This window comes from Homo sapiens, chromosome 14 (genome assembly GCF_000001405.40).
Source record: "Homo sapiens chromosome 14, GRCh38.p14 Primary Assembly".
NCBI lineage: Eukaryota > Metazoa > Chordata > Mammalia > Primates > Hominidae > Homo > Homo sapiens.
The window spans coordinates 29,658,022-29,677,029 of record NC_000014.9 but is presented as its reverse complement, the minus strand read 5'-3'; the positions used below and the strand labels follow the sequence as shown (position 1 = coordinate 29,677,029).

Genomic DNA, 19,008 nt, shown 5'->3' with positions numbered 1-19,008 from the left:
GAAATGTTCTGCACTCTGCAATATAGTAACCACTAGTCACATGTAGCTATTGAGAACTTGAATGTAGCCGGTGTGACTGAGGAACCGAATTTTTAATTTTATTAAATTGTAATTAATTTAAATTGGAATAACAACATGTGGCCAGTGGCTACCATATTGGAAATGAGAGCTCTAGAGGGTCTCATAAATTCACATGGCTTTATTTACTATTGTGACACTGATGACTCCCAAATTAACTCTACAGTCCATGTCCTACTCTAAATCTAAACTTCACTGTGTATCCTATGTATTTATTTGCCTACTTTTCATCCACCCCTACCTTAATATCTCGGTTTTCTCAGCTGCACCTTGTACTAAACAGGTTAAAAACTGAACTTGGCCGGGCGCTGTGGCTGATGCCTATAATCCCAGCACTTTGGGAGGCCGAGGCGGGCAGATCACGAGGTCAGGAGATGGAGACCATCCTGGTCAACATGGTGAAACCCCGTCTCTACTAAAAATACAAAAATTAGCTGGGCTTGGTGGCACATGCCTGTAAACCCAGCTATTCGGGACGCTGAGGCGGGAGAATCGCTTGAACCTGGAAGGCGGAGGTTGCAGTGAGCCGAGATCTCGCCACTGCACTTCAGCCTGGCGACATAGCGAGACTCCTTTGACCTCCACCTCTTCGGAGCCTACTACTCTTGACTTGATCTCCACTTTCCACAAATCCTAGCTGACCGTCTACCCTAATTCCCAGGTGAATGAGTAAACTGATGCCGCTGAAAGAATTCAGCTGGTGAATGGATGAGCAGTGGAATCTTTACAAAATGAAATACAACTCAGCAAAAAAAAAAAAAAAAAAAACAAAAACGTAATGAACTATGCATGCCTACAGCAATGTAGATGACTTACTTTTTTAAAAATTTTTTATTATACTTTAAATTCTAGGGTACATGTGCACAACGTGCAGGTTTGTTACATATGCCATGTTGGTGTGCTGCACCCATTAACGCGTCATTTACATTAGGTATATCTCCTAATGTTATCCCTCCCCCCACCCCCCACCCCACGACAGGCCCCGATGTGTGATGTTCCCCTTCCTGTGTCCAAGTGTTCTCATTGTTCAATTCCCACCTATGAGTGAGAACATGCGGTGTTTGTGTTTTTGTCCTTGCGATAGTTTGCTGAGAATGATGGTTTCCAGCTTCATCCATGTCCCTGCAAAGGACATGAACTCATCCTTTTTTATGGTGGCATAGTATTCCATGGTGTATATGTGCCACATTTTCTTAATCCAGTCTATCATTGATGGACATTTGGGTTCGTTCCAAGTCTTTGCTATTGTGACTAGTGCCACAATAAACGTACGTGTGCATGTGTCTTTACAGCAGCATGATTTATAATCCTTTGGGTATATACCCAGTAATGGGATGGCTGGGTCAAATGGTGTTTCTAGTTCTAGATCCTTGAAGAATCGCCACACTGTCTTCCACAATGGTTGAACTAGTTTACAGTCTCACCAACAGTGTAAAAGTGTTTTGCATTATACCGAAAGAAGCTAGACTCAAAAGGTTACATGTCTATGATACATTAGATAAGGGACAGAAAATAAATTAGTGGTTGTCAGAAGAATGGGGATGGGGAAGCGATTGTCTACAAAGGGGCACAGAAAATTTGGGAATTGTTCTGTATCTCAATTTTGGTCTTGAGTTGTATGTATGTGTTTGTCAAGAATGTACACAAAAAGGAATACATTTTACTTTATATAAGTTATTATCTCAATAAACCTGATGGAAAAGCAGAAAATCAGATTTTTCTTAAAGCTCTTCTTTTATTCTAATGAACCAGAGCAGACCAACTGAATCAGTCGGCTTCATGAAGTCATGAATCTTCGTGAAGAATAGGGGGAGTCTCTAAGTACCAAGTTCCCTCCTTTCAGTGCCCCTGAGCCACAGCCGGGACAATTCCTGCACACAGCAGGTTCCTTGGCCAACAGCGCTGAATTGGATTCAGCAATTGTTGAACTGTTTCTTCTTCTGGAGTGGGTATACCCTGATTATTTCACAGCTTTTCAAGGTTTTGTTGTTCATGAATCGAAAGTAAGCATCTGTTTCTATGAAAAGTACAGTGAGACTTAAAGCAACCTGAAGTAAAGCACATAGAACCTCGTCCCTGTGTCTCTAGCTGCAAATGTATTGTATTTGACAACAGTGATGCTATTTGTCCTGAGAAGCCCTGCTGCCTATCAGAATATTTCTGAATAATACTGTACCTAGCCTTTGTCTACCAACCTTTTGTAAGAAGTTTAAAGGTAATTTGTATGCTGGTGTTCCTCATGTAAATTAGGTCATTATCCTTTTAAAGGTATAAAGCCTCCTGTACACGATGGAGCTTTCTAAGAAAAATAGATTTGACCTTTCTTTCCCTCTATTCAGGGTGCCTGCAGTGCTTGCACTCATTAGCTAGAATTTGACTCCATGACATTTTTACTTAATTTTCTTTTTCTTCTACGTTGGACACATGGGGCAACCATTTATATTCTTTCTTGACCTGAGATGCTCTCTAATCTCTTTCCAGCTGTGGCATTTGTCATTCAGTCACATCAGGATATGGTGACCCTTCTTTCCCCACTGCAATTCCCAACTGTTAATTGATTCATTTTAGGGAAGGAACTAGACACAGCCCTATGGACCCAGCTCCATTTAATTAGTGTTAACCAGAACAGTAGATAGGAAAGCAATTTCCTCTGGAGTGGAAACATAGGCTTTATAAGGTAGTAGAAGAGACAAATAATACTAGTTTTTATAGCCCTTAGTTTTTAAGGGCCCTGAATTGGCAACAGACTTAGAAACAGCATTCCTCTCCATTAGTAATGATGGTTGTGACAATAATTATTATTATTAATAATAACTGTGATTCTAACCCAGGTCTTTCTGACCACAAAGCCCATACACTTCATCCTTGTGCTAAAAACTTTTTGTGACAGCTCCCACCGGTATGCCAAGGACTATACTAGTTACTTTGTGTCTTCCTCATAATCCAGTGAGATGCATCACACGAAGCCCATTTTATAGAAAGGGACACTGAGGTTCAGAGAGGTGAAGTAACTTCCCCCAGGTCATGCATTTGCTGTGACCAGGATCAGAGTCCAGGTCTTCCCTGGCACTCAGTCCATGCATTTTATCACTACTGACACTATATTGCGCTTAGAATAGAAAGGTACTAGCAAAAACATCTCTGGAAAGCACTGCTAGACACTTTGTAAACTGTGATCCAAGATATTATTCTGATGGAATTTACTTTTGAACTTGAAATACTTTATTTACAGATTATTAGGACTTCAATAAAATGTAGAGCCTTAGAACTGCAGGGAAGCAACATGTTTAACTACGAGAATTAATCACTTTAATATGTGCCTGCACAGTTAGAGAAGTTGTGGTCTTGCAGTGTGTAATGTTATGTGTGAACAGATAAACAATTAAGGGGTGGCAATATTCAGTGATACATTTTATGACAGAAGTGTCCAGGACGCTATGGAAAAGAGAAGAGGGCAGTCTTTTGCAGGTGGGGGTAGGCATATCCCAGAATAGGCGACACTGAGCTGAGGTGTGGATCAGGTGGAACCTGGCTGCCTGAGAAGTATGTATGCAAAACAGAAGGAGGGATTGACGTGAAAGACGGTGACGCATTCTTAGAAATGGCTGGAGAAAAAGTATGTTGAGGAGAGTATCCTTGGCCAACTAAGTATGGAGGTAGATGGCATAAAATAATCCCATTTTCTAGCTCTCTCGTCCTTTACTACATAAAGGCTCCATTTTGTAAACATACCTTTATTTTTTATAAAGCTTTTAAAAATAAATTTATTTCTTTTAATGGACAGATAATAATTGTGCATAGTTTGTATCTATTTTGTTCAAGCAACATCTTCCTGGCAGGAGGCGTTGCTGCTTCTAAAGCAGATGTTTTGCAGCAGCCATAGAGCTCAGCTGCCTGGAAAAGAAATAAAGGATCCTTCACGTGTTAACTGTAGCTCTGTGGGTTCATGAACAGATCCTAAGCTATTTCTTGAGCAAGGCTTTAGCCCTGCTATCAAACACTCCTACTGTCCCGGTGCATCCTTCTGGTTTAAAAAAATGAAGAGGAGAATTTCTTTTTTTTTTTCTGAGAAGGAGTAAATACATGTTAACTTTCTTAATTTTCATAATAGAACATAGGCCTGGTTACCTGCTTGTCTGGAATCTAAAACTGCCTGGGGAATCTCTCCTTGAATGTTAGTAATTCTGTTCTATATACCTGGAGTTATTAAGCATAATTAGATTTCTGTGACCTAGAATATATAATTATTATAAATAAATCTACTGTAACTATGCTGAATTAAAGAGACTATTATATGATTCCTTGGCAAGTCAACCAGTAGTGCCTACATGGTCATGCTAATGAGTCTTTTTCATTTGATTTCTTCCATCACTGCAGATTTATGACCTCTTGTTTCTAAGTCATCTTGTCACCAGAGATTTAATAAGGATTCACTCTGTTCTCTTCTAGTTTTTCTATGATTTTGTGTTTTTATTTAACTTTTTGCTCAGCAGGTAATTATTTTAGTATAAGAGAGGAAATATTGTTTCAAGTAGTATTTTCCCCTATGTTGCTAATCGTTACTAATTGTTAATTATTTTATTTTATTTTATTTTATTTTATTTTTTTTTTGAGACAGAGTCTCGCTCTGTCACCCAGGCTGGAGTGCAGTGGCACGATCTCGGCTCACTGCAAGCTCTGCCTCCCAAGTTCACGCCATTCTCCTGCCTCAGCCTCCCAAATAGCTGGGACTACAGGCACCCACCACCACGCCCGGCCAATTTTTGTATTTTTAGTGGAGACAGGGTTTCACTGTGTTAGCCAGGATGGTCTGGATCTCCTGACCTCGTGATCTGCCTGCCTTGGCCTCCCAAAGTGCTGGGATTACAGGCATGAGCCACCACGCCGGCCAATTGTTAAATGATATCTCCACCTTTGACATTGATTTCTGTTAAGACTTACAATATTTTAAATATATACATAGGGTAGATTTCTGGGTCACTAATTCTAGCCTGCTTATCTCTCTCTTTTATCTTTCACAGCCACCCATATTTTAAAATATCAACATTTTATAGAATATTTTGATATCAAGTAGGGCAAAATTTATTTATTACTCTTCTGTTACTTTTTTCTATTCTTATTAGAATATGTTCTGTTCTTCTTACAAAAGGGCTTTAGAATAATTTCATTAAGCAAACAACATTCTGTTAGGATATTGAGATAGATGTTTTCTTAAAGTTAAAAATAAGCTTTTAAGTACTCATCTATAATTCATTTGGGCCTATTGAAAATAATTTCTTTAAAGCCCCTTTCTCATCCATCCTAGACTTTGTTTTCTTCTTGATATGTTACTTCTTCCTATTTTTTTTCTTTTAGTTTAAAGATGGTCTATTTTTCTAGAAAAGATAAAAACAAAAATATAATTGAATAGCTTTTTCTATTTTGTCTGTTAGCATTAAACTATTTATTTCTGAGTTTGAGGCCTATCTCTGCTTCATTCTTTCCACATGAAACACCCAGCTGAAAAGCCTTCTGTTCTCTTTTAGCTTTTAAAAAGCTTCAGCTTTTCCTTCTTTTGGCCTTCCTAGGGTGGTTCTCTGGCCGGAGCCACTTACTTGCATTCAACCTGACTCTGTGCTGGTCCTTCTGCTGTTGATTCTTTACTTTTCTGAACATGAGCTCATCAGACAGTTCCCTGGGCAGTCACAACATTTATCTAGTTACCAGTCCCTTTTCTTCCTAATTAGGGCAACTTGCTATTGTGTTCTCAGTCTGGCTTGTGAGACCTTTTTCTCTTGTAGCCATATTTTTTTTAATCTCTAACCACAAACTTAGGAAATAACTTCCCAGAAACTTCTGAGCTGCCTAGTCAACCTATCTAAATACATTTTTTTTTCTCTCTTGGCTACTATGATCTCTGAGATGATATATTCACAGCCTCCCAAATTCCCATCATTGCACCTCACTAACAATTTTCTGGTCAGATGTTAAGTCAAAAATGGAGATTCCCTTCATTTTCAGCACCCATCTGAAAGATGTTATTGCAAGTCCCTCTGCAAGAATTTATTGAATGTTCTTGTTGTTGGAGAGCTGTGGGTCCTCACAACTCTAGATGTTTCCAGGTATAACAAAAATGTGAAATGTGAGATTAACTTGAACAACGGTTGCATGAAGGGAGAATCTGATCTAAAACTGGCTTGGAGAGACTGGGATCAACAGAGAAGCAGGAAAAAATGACCAACCTTGGGGGTTAGGTATATGTGTATTGGGTGATGGGGAGGGAGAATGGACATGTGCAAGCTTAGTTTTACAAACACTCACACACCTGGGCCACAATAGTGTGAAATTGATCTGTTGTCATCTCTCAGTTCCCTGCCTCATGGACAATTTGTAGTCATTCTTGCTGATTTCCCTGACAGTGCACCAAAGATGATAAAGTGTCAAGAACCCACAATAATTGTAAAGAAATATATAGACAATCCTATGTTATATATAATTAAAATAAGACTATATAAAAATGTTCACTCTTTTATCCTGTTCTCTGCTTTTCAAAATACTCTTCAACCTTCAGGATTCTGTACAATTCCTCTCTTGGATGAAGTGTTCCCTGACAGACCTAGACAGACTTAGCCACCCTTTGTCTTCTGTTCCATCCCTGCATTTGGTATTATAAATATACATGGGCCTGTCATCCTCATTTTGACTTTGATCTCTCAACTACAGATACCGTTCCTTAGTCCTTTTTTTATTTTCAACATATACTATATTACCTAGGAGGTTCTAGATATATTAATAACACATAACATAAACTATGTTAGGTTGAAATTATTAGGACTGCTTTACTTACATAAGCTCATTTAAATGCATAAAAATGCCTTATTTTTAAAGGCTTGCTTTTAGCATTATGATTACTAAGTAAAAGTTACAGAAGTGTATTGGGGCCTCAATAAAAACAACTTTCTAATAATTTGAGATATTCACAAATGCAATAAACTGATTGTGAGTAGTGATCATTCCACCAATAATGTGTGTTTATGGGTGAATGAAAGGAAGTTTAAAGAAGATATTGGTTTTTGTTTTGTTTTGTTTTTGTTTTTTGTTTTTTGAGACACAGTCTCACTCTGTTGTCCAGGCTGGAGTGCAATGGTGTGATCTTGATTCATTGCAACCTCTGCCTCCCAGGTTCAAACAATTCTTCTGCCTCAGCCTCCTAAGTAGCTCGGATTACAGGTGCATGCCACCATGCCCAGCTAATTTTTGTATTTTTAGTAGAGATAGGGTTTTACCGTGTTGGCCAGGCTGGTCTCAAACTTCTGACCTCAGGTGATCCACCTGCCTTGGCCTCCCAAAGTGTTGGGATCCCAGGCGTGAGCCACTATGCCCAGCCAATATTGTTTTGTTTTGTTTTTGTTTTTGTTTTTAATCTACAGAATACCTTAAAAATAGCAAGTATGTGATTTTGTGTAGGAGTGGTATCCAGAAACTATTTTCAATATTCTAGACAGTAAAGGAAAAAAAAAATGCCCACAGCAAAGCTTCACAGCTTTCAGAAACTTCAAAATGTTTTGCTTTGGGACGAACTAATCAATTCAATGTGGGGACATGTTATCATGTGGACACAAAGCTCCAGTTGGCGTTTAGCTCACCTATGCATCATTACCACTGACTTTTGTAAAAGTTGAAAAACCAATGACTTTTCCTTAATTTGTTTGGAAAGGAGGATTTCTAAACATGGAGCTCATGCAAAAAGCATACTAAAAGAATTTTTGATCTTGAGAACTGGATTAATTTTTTTCTATACTTTATTTCATGGCTTCTTATTTTCCCAGCATTGTTATAAGATAATAATGCATGTTACAAGGGGTTGTGTGTTATATGTATTTAATTGTACTCTTTAAAAAATATTTTTCAGTGATACATAAAATAAAGGTGCAGCTTATAATCCATAGTGTTTAAATAGTCAAAAAAATACAAGTTGAGTAATGGTGGCTGAGAGAGTTTATATGGTTCTGGTGTCAGGACTGCCTCAGTTCAGATTCTGTATTACCTAGTGTAGCTCCTTAATTTCTGAGTATCAGTTTTCTCATCTGTAAAATGGGGTTTGGCATAATAACTACCTTATAGATTGCTTAAGCATTTCCTCTCATTATATCAGTCTCAACTTGTCATAGCCAGCAAGAGTTTATGCTTCTCCCATTGCCAAAATTACCAGTTTTTTAAAAAAGTACTGAAAATCTTGGAAGATCTGTCGTTATTTTATTTTATTATGCAAATAATTTTGACCTCCAGAGATTATTTTGCTTCAGAAGCCTTATTTCTTCTGTACTGCTAACCAAACAGTTTACTCCATTTGTGCAACAATTTATAATGAACCATAAAAGAACTGATTATCTTAGGGTTTTTGGCTCAATTACCTGTTTCAAATGCTCAATGACTAAGAAAAGCATGTCATTTTCTCTTCTCTTGCACACTGGAGTATAACAATAGGCTGTGAATAGAGCAAATAAAAGAGACACAAATACCAGTATAAGGGGCCTATTGTGTTTAGTTTGTTGCCCTGTCATATGGTTTTAATTTAGGTTGGCTGATTGATTATGACAGACTAACAGATAGCCCATTGTTCCTCTCTTGGAATCTCTAGACACTTTAATATTCCTATTCTTATCTGTCCATTTTGATTCCTAAACTTAAATGAAATGGAATTACAGCATTCACTTTGTTTTCCTGTGCTAAGTGATTATCTCTGAAGTGCAATTTTGTGATTAGGCGAGGTGGCATGCATACACTCAACTAATGCTGATTTCCCCCAGGGTGCAGAACAGGTAAATTCATAATGAATGGATGTTGTGCTTTGATTTCAAATGGATGTAAAAACCTCACCACACTTCATAGTTTTATTTTAAAAATGTATTTAATTATTCTAAAATTAACAGGAGAATATTAAAATTGAACTTTAGAAATATGGCATTTAAACATAAGTCAAGGGTGCTAACTGCTTATGAATGTTAATCCTCTTCAAAAAATGAAAGAAAAAAAAAAAACAAATTTACCTAGCATAAATTGGAGGAGTGTCACTGAAAATCTTTAGTTTAATTATTTATATTCCTTCTGATTAATTCCAAAAATGTCTGAATCCAGCTTGGTATTTGTATTGTCAAATTCTAATGTGGCTTATTTTGAATACTAAAGTAATTATTCAACTAATCGTTGTGATAGTATTGTCATAGTTGTTTGGTCTGGAGGGGTGATTTTGGGGCTGAGGGGAGAAGCTAGAAGTTAAGAATTGACATAAAGTTTTCTCTTTAATTATTTTCTTTGATATTTTAAAAATAAATTTTCTACATGAGTATGAGAGACCAATTTTAAAAAGAATTTATTCTTCTCCCAATTGGACACATTTTGACCAAACCACCAAAGTAGGTGATTGGCACCCAAACCACACTTTTTTTCTGATCTACTTGGATTAAGCATTGACAATTATATTGTGGATCTTGAAGTGGGAAATGTGATATGCAATTTCTTAAACTTATTTGAATTGAGGAGGAAAGGAAAGGAAGGCAGAAGACAAGGAATATATTGAAGGCCTCAGTTTTCCCCAAAATTCTCGTAAAATAAAATCTTACAAAGTTAAGTTCATATGGTTCTGTTCTTACATTAATGGAAGTTTAAATTTTAAGGGACTGGAGAAGTCATCATCAGACAGACTGTCTCTTTTTAGGTATGAGAAACTGAGACTCGTGCTTATTGAGATGTCACTCCGGTAAAGGTCAGGCTTCCCCCAGGTCTTCTGCCTGCCAGGTGCTGTACTGTGCTATATTGTGCAGCCGCAACCTCAGGCTTACTGTGTGCACATAGGTCTGGAAAGATCCACCACTTTCCATTAGGACACTAAGAAAAAAGCTCATCTTTCCGCTGTCGATACCTTTCTATTTCTTGATTTCAGCAACAACAAAACAGCACAAACCACTTTTATAATACAATAAAAATATCATATGGAAAGATGTAATAAAAATGGATTTTAATATCCTGTATGAGTACCATACAGAATAAGCAACAGTAAGCAACACCAAAAAGTTCCCTACAACATGAATATGGTTGATTAAGGTGTATTTCTCAGAATGGACTGCAGTTCACCAGCGTATGTATTAAATCCCTCTCTTTGGCATGTTGGTGAAGTGGCTGCTTGGTTGTTGCTCAGTCATGATTTAAATGCTTAGTTATTATACATTGCCCAAGAGTTCAGACAGCTCTATCCCTATATAAGGAAGCCACTCATATTTTATATCTATCTTTCAACTGGACCCTGTAATGTACTTCTTCATTGTCAAACTCAAGGATACTATTTTTCGGATCTATCTGAATTCATCAACTTTCTTCTTTTCATTAATATTTTTGAATACCTTTCTCACTCATTTAAGTAAGAGAAAAAGTAAAATATTTTTTAAGTATCATCAGGTGTTTGTAAATCAGGTGTACTTATACTTTCATTCATGCTTTCTGCTATTTTTTTGGCTGTTTTTAAAGTGGTCTGAAACTTGGTCAAGCAGGAAGAGGAGAAGAGAGATGGTTGCTGTGCCACCAACTGTAAAACTATGGCTGGGAATAATGTCTAATGGCTGAAAGTGCAAGCTGTGTTGCATCTTATCTTCCCTAACTTTGCCTAGGGAGTTATATCCGTACTGGCATATTTATTATCTTGCATACTTTTTATTTACAGATCAGAGTGCCTATTCAACTTACTTTTCAACATCACTATTTTTACAGCTTCCGCCACCTTTGAAGACTTTCAGATTCGTCCCCACGCTCTCTTTGTTCATTCATACAGAGCTCCAGCTTTCTGTGATCACTGTGGAGAAATGCTGTGGGGGCTGGTACGTCAAGGTCTTAAATGTGAAGGTAAGTTATTTTCTTCCCATGCAAGTTAAATGTGTGCTGTTCTCCTGTGTTTATCGCAGCAGAATTCACAATTGCAAAGATACGTAAAAGCTAAGTGCCCATCAACCAATGAGTGGATAAAGAAAATGTGGTACATATATACATATATATACGCACATATATATGTGTGTATATATACATTTTCTTCATCCACTCGTTTGGTTGAGAAAATATAGGTTTTTTTGTGTGTATACATACATAGATCTATCTATATATACACCTATTACATAAGTCTATGTATATATACACCTATGTACATAGATCTATGTATGTATACACATATATACATATACACACATATATACAAACATGTATATACATTGGTGTGTGTGCGTGTATACACTCCACATTCTCTTTATCCACTCATTGGTTGATGGGCACTTAGGTTGATTCCATACCTTTGCAATTGTGAATACAATTCACAATATGCATTATATATATACACCATGAAATACTACTCAGCCATGAAAAAGAACAAAATAATGTCTTTTGCAGCAACTTGGATAGAACTGGAGGCCATTATCCTAACTGAAGTAACTCAGGAACAAAAGCCAAATACCACATGTTCTCATTTATAAGTGGAAGCTAATCTGTGGGTACACAGGGGCACACACAGTGGTGTAATAGACATTGGAAAATCAGAAGCAGGAGGTTCAGAGGTGGCTGAGGGATGAAAAACTACCTATTGTGTACAATGAACATAAACCATTTGGGTGACAGCTACACTAAAAGCCCAGACTTTACCACTATATAATTCATTCATGTACTGAAAACCACATGTACACCTAAAGCTAATGAAATAGTAAAAAATAAAAAATAATGCATGATGGAGCTATCTGCTTATGTTGTGCCCTCTACAATAGTGTAGCAGTATCTCCCCGAAGTATCTTCCAGGCATTTAGGGGGTACATGGATTCTCTTCTGTTCATTTCTTTAAGTTTCCTGTCTTGAACAAAGTTGGTCTGACCTGGGAACCCTTATTCTCACATCTTTTCTCCCTTATCATGTGGACATGTTTCACCCCTATATGGTGCTCAATATTTTATCAGCCGACTAAAAATAAAATTTGCCTAGTAAATAAGTCAGAAATTGGAATAGTAGACATTGAATACACATTTGTTGAAATGAGCAGAGATTCAGGAAATTAAACCGTCTAAGTTCACTCAGCTGTTGAGTCGCGAGCTGGAACATGTATCTGCATTTCTGCACCAACAACATAATTTTATCATAATGTGGAAAGAACACTTTGAACTGCACAATTCAAGGTGCTAGGACACCATGATATAATCTTTAAAACTGGCGCAATTGTACTCTATTCTCTTTGGATTGGGAGGGCAGGGTTAGAGTTCTTTGAACTTTGACAAATATAACTGAGCATTTATTATGCAACCTACAAATAAACTATCCACAATTTTTGAATTTCTGTCTGTGAAGAGGGAAGCTAGCAGACAATAATCTGGAAGAAACTCTGCCTAAAATCTGGTTTTATGAAAATTTGTCTGTCCGGACTGCTGTGTGACACATGGAGAGATTCTAAGTAATGGCCTCCAGCTACGTGGGGAATATGAATATTAAAAATATTGAAAAGAAACTGACACTTGCCTAGGTGGGAAATCTGTTTCCAATTATTGATCACCTACCATGTGGAAACCAGCATGTGAGGTACTTTATATATCTTCTTAGTAATTCTACAAGGTAGTTATTACCTCCATTTTAGAGACGAGAAAACTGAGGTGAAACTTTGTTCCAGGCCATGTAGACAAGCAAGTTATGAGGCCCAGATTCAAATTAGTGTTGTCTAAAACTTGTGATGTGCTGTGATTAATATTCCTTTATGTGTCCACTCACATTTGAACTTACGGCAGCTAAAAGTGGCTCAGATTATCTAATTTGAGTTAATTTCTATATCCCTTCAAGCCTAAGACTGTTATATCACAGAACATTTTTAAAAATGATACCTAGCATAGTTCCTGAGCTTGTGCAATAAGATCAGAATTCAAAACCCATTAACAAATTGGAAAAAAAATTCAGAGAATGTTCAAAAGAAAATGTGAATTTCCAAATACTCTCAAGGAAAATGGAAGCTGTACTATTTTTTAAATTTCTACTTTACACTAATATTGGAATCACTTTTTAATTTATGGTTCAATAAAAATAATTTTTATTTTCCCTTTCCAGGGTGTGGTCTGAATTACCATAAGAGATGTGCATTTAAAATACCCAACAATTGCAGCGGTGTGAGGCGGAGAAGGCTCTCAAACGTTTCCCTCACTGGGGTCAGCACCATCCGCACATCATCTGCTGAACTCTCTACAAGTGCCCCTGATGAGCCCCTTCTGGTATGGCTTCCTGTTTACCCACTTCCCCATTTACATGAGAAATCTGTGGGGTGATGTGATAGCAATGTCAATCCAAGACAGGGCGCTAGGAGGGAGAATGCAGCCAGGGTGTTAATGACAGTGTTTCTTCAGGGCTTGTGCTGTAGATTGGTCAGTGTCTCATCAAATATCCAACAGTTTTGAGTTTGCTTTTATCTCTGAGCTTAGTGAAATGATAAAATATGTGAGGTTTTATCGTGGTCACAGGGCCAGAGCAGCACGAACTAATGTGTTAATGTTGCAAAACATCGCTTGTCAAAATTTGGAAACCAGAGAGATACAAAATGTTCTCTGAAGATTATTAGAGGAATTTGTGGCATGGCTGAATATTTATTTTGGGAGGAAACTTGAAATTTGCTCTTGTGAAACCATGAAAGTCTTTATTGCTTGGCATACTGGCATACATGCCAGCTTATTGTCAAAAACTGATTGATAAGTCCTGTGAGAAAAATAGGACTTAACACTTTAAATATTTCCATTAGCTCTAGAATATATATATATATATATATATGGAAGAATATTAACTATATCCATAAGATATATATTTTTATATATTATATATATTATATAGTATATATTTTATATATATTATATATAAAATATGCAAATAAATATATATATATCTTATGGATATGGTTAATATTCTTCCTTAAGAAAGTTAAATTTGGATTTTCCAAACATTCGAAACAAAATAAAAATTGTGGTAATTATGTGAATTATTTAAAATAAAAACACATTCTGAAATACGCTAATAGTTTGAGGATTTAAATTTCCCATATTTACCCCCTCTATCTCCCGATGGATATTACAATGATGCTTTATAATCCTGTTACTGTAAAAATCAATTAGAGAGAAAAAAATTTTGAAAATACTTAAACATTTAGGTTGAATAGATCCCTCTTGGAGTGGAGAGTGGTAACAAATTCTGAAGACATCTATAAGAAGTTGTATAAATTACTTGTTTGGAAAATATTTTATTGTGATCACGATCTTTATATCACCAAAATTTTTTTACAGTGTAAACCAGGAGTATAAATGAAATGAATTATTTTAATAATTAGGAAAATCCCATACTCTTTTATAAGGCTCTCTTTTAGGGGTTTCTTGTGTTTTCAGTACATCACTAAGTGAACCTAGTTGGAGAAGGCAGGTACTAAATTTCACCAATAACTAGAAGAACATATTATAACTTCATACCTATTCAGAATATGTATGCATGATCATATATTATTCCATGAAGTTCTATTAATTGAAATTATGATATTCTTACTGATAAGTGCTTAAGTCAAAGTCTGTGTTTTAAAATAATCCTATGTCATCTTCTCAGCTCAGAAGTTCTTTGAGTTTGAATTTTTGCAATTAGTGATTTTACAAGTTACAGCAATTACTCTTGCTTTTAAGCATAGCTGCTGAGAGTCATGATGTTTATAAGATAGACATTTAAAAATAAGTTTAAGAAACAACATTGTAAATTATGCATATATGTATATAAATGTATGGTTTCTATATAAATCTAATTTAGCTTATGTAAGTATAATTTAACACGGATTTTTGTGTTTTTAAACCAACTTAAAGCAATAAAAGCTTAAAAGCAATAAAAGCAATAAAACCAAATTAAAGCAATAAAATAATGCTTTATGTAACCAAATTAAATAACCACTAAATTATTTGAATTATTTGATACGTTACATAAAATGTTGAAATTAAATGGTGAATTAAAATTTTTTTGTAAAATGCTTAAAATCTATTTTATAAGTACACATTTTTAAAATTAGACTTTGTCAAGAATGCTTGTAAAATTATGATCAAATCAGATATTTATTAAGTGAGAAAATATTGGAGCCACAAGATACTTTTTAAAGCTACTGGGATGGGAGTCATAAGCTTTCGTAACCTTGTGTAAAATGCCTTCAGGTAAACTTTAAATGAGAAATGCATTTGGAAGTAATGTTTGTGACACTATTTGACACACTGGTTCTCAGAATCATGTTTTAAACACAGCAAAGCCCTTTGTGTCCTTATGGGGTGCCTACTTGTCTTTGTTTTTACCCAATCCCTGAGAAAGTAGGAAACATTGGCCCACCTTGAGGAGGACACATATTTCCCTGTTGCCTTTGTTCCCTTTCATGTCTTCGCTTCTTCATACGGGAACAAAAGCACCCTGCTCGACCAAGGCACACGGGGAGTACCATGCCTATATCCCTTTTCAACCCAGTAACACCAATAACTATAGTTTAAAAGTTATAGTGGGTGCCTAATAAGAGGTGATATTATAGCAATAATAGTAAAACCTTTGGGTTCTATATACATTAAAGAATAATTTCCATTTCCAAAAAGAATGATGGCCTGACCCTTGTAAAGACAGCATTGCTCATTAAGGCCACTAGACCATTTATTTTGCAAGTCTGCCATGGTAAGTATATTTTCTCTCAAATATGAGAAAGTTATATTTTCCATAAATGATTGCCTATTTTGACTATAAAGTTTCTTTTTCAGATACAGATTACGACATTGGTAATTCTGTTTGTTTATCCATTTGGGCACAGAAATTCAATCTCAGATTTCTCTAATGTTAAGATAGAAAAAATATTATAATAGCATAGATCACATGACAAACTTCAACTGTCATCAACTTTGGCAGTAAACTATCCATTATGCTATCCATAAAACAGTCCATCTTTAAAAAATTCCAAGATGTGGTCAATTTATAACAGTTCTGTGGGCATGGATTTTTTTTTTTGTAAACTATCATCAGTATTAGAAGGAAACAAGAAAAACTCAGCAGATTCTTAAGTGGAACACATTAATACACTGTATCATTATCTATAAGTATATTTATCAAATTATATCAGTTTTATGGACTTTTGGGCAACTGTAGAAGAAGTTAGTATTAAATGAGTCTATTATTTCTGTATGCTTTACTCATCTTTTTATTTTATTTACATGTGTTCTTGTGGTATTTGGGAAAAGTCAAAGCCAATTGAACCCACACCAGGCAAGGGTTAGTCTTAGGCAAAAAGTTATTATAATATAATAATCTGTTGTAGAACGTCTGTTCCTAGGTGTAAAGGAAAACTTTAATCAGATAAACTCTCCCATGAGGGACAATGATAAAAGCCGAATAAAATATAACATAACAAAACACTATTTGAAGGCACCCAAGAGCAACCAAGGCAATTGGATTTGAGTGACCAATCACAGAGAGGTCAGTACACAGGGCAGCCTCCTACAATGAAGAAGTATCCAACCCAAAATGTCAATAGTGCTGAGGTTGAGCACCCCTGATGTAGAACAAACCAGAGACTTGCCAAACATATTATAAAGGCGCAGTAAAGGCAAGGTAGTATTATACAAAGTTAAGTATAAAGTATTAAGGCAATGTGCTGTTACACAAAGACAGAAAAATTAACCGATGAAATAGAGTCCGGAAACTATGTGCATACACAGACCAGCTGATTTATGACAAGGGAAAAACTGCTGTGAGAAAAGAATGGTCTTTTCAGCAAACATCTCTGTGACCAATTGGATATCTATATGGCAAAGAAGAATCTTGACCCTGTCTTATGCCATACACGAAATCAATTGTAGGTAGATTGGAAGCTTCTAGGAGGTAACACAGAAAGTATATCTACAAGAACTTCGAGTAGGAAAAGCTTTTTTAAACAGGATTTAAATCACTGATGACAAAGGAAAAAGATTGATAAATTGGGCATCATTAAAACTAAGAAATTATTTTAATCAAAATATGTCATTAAGAGAATAGAAAAGTGAGTGGGAGAAGACATTTTCAATACAATATATCATATAAAAACTCATATTCAGAGCACATAAGGAACATTTACAAAAAAGTTAGAAGACAGACAACGTTATTTAAAATATAGCTATATACTTAACCAGCACATTACAAGATAGACAATAAACATGAAAATGTGCTTAACATCATTAGTTATCAAGGACTGTAAAGTTAAGTCTGTAATGACCTATGTCTACATCAGAATGTCTGTCATTGAAAGAACACCTGTTAATAACAAGTACTGGGGAAGATACTGAGCAACTAAACTTACATACACTACTACTGGGATTGTATATTGGCCCAAACGACTTTGGAAAACTTGTTGGCAGTTATCTCGTAAAGCTAAACACATGCATATGGTGTGACACATCAGTTCTACTTCCAGGTATATATACAATAGGAATATACAGAGTCATGCCCAGAAGGATATGTTAAAAGATGTTTTTGACATCTTTATGCATAATAGCTAAAAATTAGAAACCAGTAGTGGTGTAGTCATACAATGGATTGTATGAATGATACAGCCATGGAATTAATTAACTATTGATTCACTCTGCAACATTGTTGAATCTCACAAAATGATATTTAAAGAAATAAGTCAGACAAAGGGTACATACTTATGAATCCAGTATATGAAGTTCAAATCAAGCAAAACCAATTTATGGCAAGATACTTAAAAATAAAACTAAGGTGGGATATCAACTGGGAAGGAGCAGAAGTGAGCTTTCTAGGATGCTGGCAATATTATATATCTTGATCTGGGTAGAGGTTACATGGGTTTATGCACATGCAAAACTTCATCAAGCTATACACCTAGAATGGTGTTTACTTTATTCCATATGAATTGTACCTCAGTAAAAGTGTTTTAAAATGATAATAGCAATGGATCTCCAAATAGCAAGTTATAAAGCCATTGAGATTCTTCAACACAGGTCATGTGAGAAAAGAATGAAATGTTATGTCATAATAATTAATACATTATGTTATGAGATTCCTATCAGTCAATTAAAAGAAAATGGAGCTATAAAATTTACATTGGAAATAAATTCTTTGGGTGCTAAATTAAAAGTAATATGCCACATCATTCTGGGATACTAGTATTCATTTGCATAATAAACATTGTCACCTGCAGTAGTTTCATCACAGATACAAAACTGTAATTATATGATCTTCCTTTAAGGGAAAAACCAAACAAAAACAAAACTGTGGTATAATTTACAACCAACTACCAATGAAACAGGTCGCTCTCTTTTCCTTGGTGATTTATAGACATTTCTGGTGATTCTAACTTGATAACAGGATGAAAAGATAGAGCTGTCTCTGTGTTTCTTAAAGTTTTTCTTAAAAATAATGGCCCCATAAAATATTCTGAAAAAAAAAAATTGGTCAAATAAGATTAGGAAATGCTTCTTGGTTCATCCAAATTTTGGACATCCTAGGAGTCATTATGCATAATTAAGGGCCTAAGTAAGAAGTCTGACAGTGGTAAAATTAGTGTTCTTAAATCCACTCTAACATGGAACCCTTTTCTCATAAAACGCATTAATATTGTGTGGGAAGTACATGCACTTTGGGAAACAATAACTTAGAGGAATGAGTAAATGAATGCACGTTGCATAGACCATCTTCAAATATGAGCTGAACAGCATGCAGCTGAAGTTGAATTGTGACGACGGCCCAGAAAAAAGAGATTCAGGGCTACTAACTGGAGGAAAAATATACACTTTGGGTATCAGATATATAGATAGCAAGGATAATACTTTACTTTGGAAATTGAGAAATTGATTTCCTCTCCCAAAGAGCTAACTTTGCCATTTCTGCATGCAAATGTGCCCTAAGAGTACC

At 35.7% G+C, this 19,008-nt stretch overlaps 1 protein-coding gene across 7 annotated transcripts in view, besides 1 other annotated feature; it reads left to right on the top strand.

The window, feature by feature from the left end:
* The window catches only part of PRKD1 (protein kinase D1), a 351,369-nt gene that overhangs the window by 250,818 nt on the left and 81,543 nt on the right, over positions 1–19,008 (top strand). For all 7 annotated transcript variants that reach the window (XR_943493.3, NM_002742.3, NM_001330069.2 and 4 more), the window contains 2 exons: positions 10,822–10,953; positions 13,171–13,331. Coding sequence is in view for 6 of the 7 variants with exons in the window: in NM_002742.3 (NP_002733.2) it covers positions 10,822–10,953; positions 13,171–13,331 (293 nt within the window). In the remaining variant the exon portion in view is untranslated. The remainder of the gene's footprint in view (positions 1–10,821; positions 10,954–13,170; positions 13,332–19,008) is intronic.
* Positions 13,040–13,604: an enhancer, noted in NCBI's record as "OCT4-NANOG hESC enhancer chr14:30132632-30133196 (GRCh37/hg19 assembly coordinates)". NCBI's record gives its function as "activates a minimal SCP1, AML or CMV promoter by ChIP-STARR-seq in naive H9 embryonic stem cells {active_cell/tissue: H9 hESC(naive)}" and the evidence as "EXISTENCE:reporter gene assay evidence [ECO:0000049][PMID:30033119]".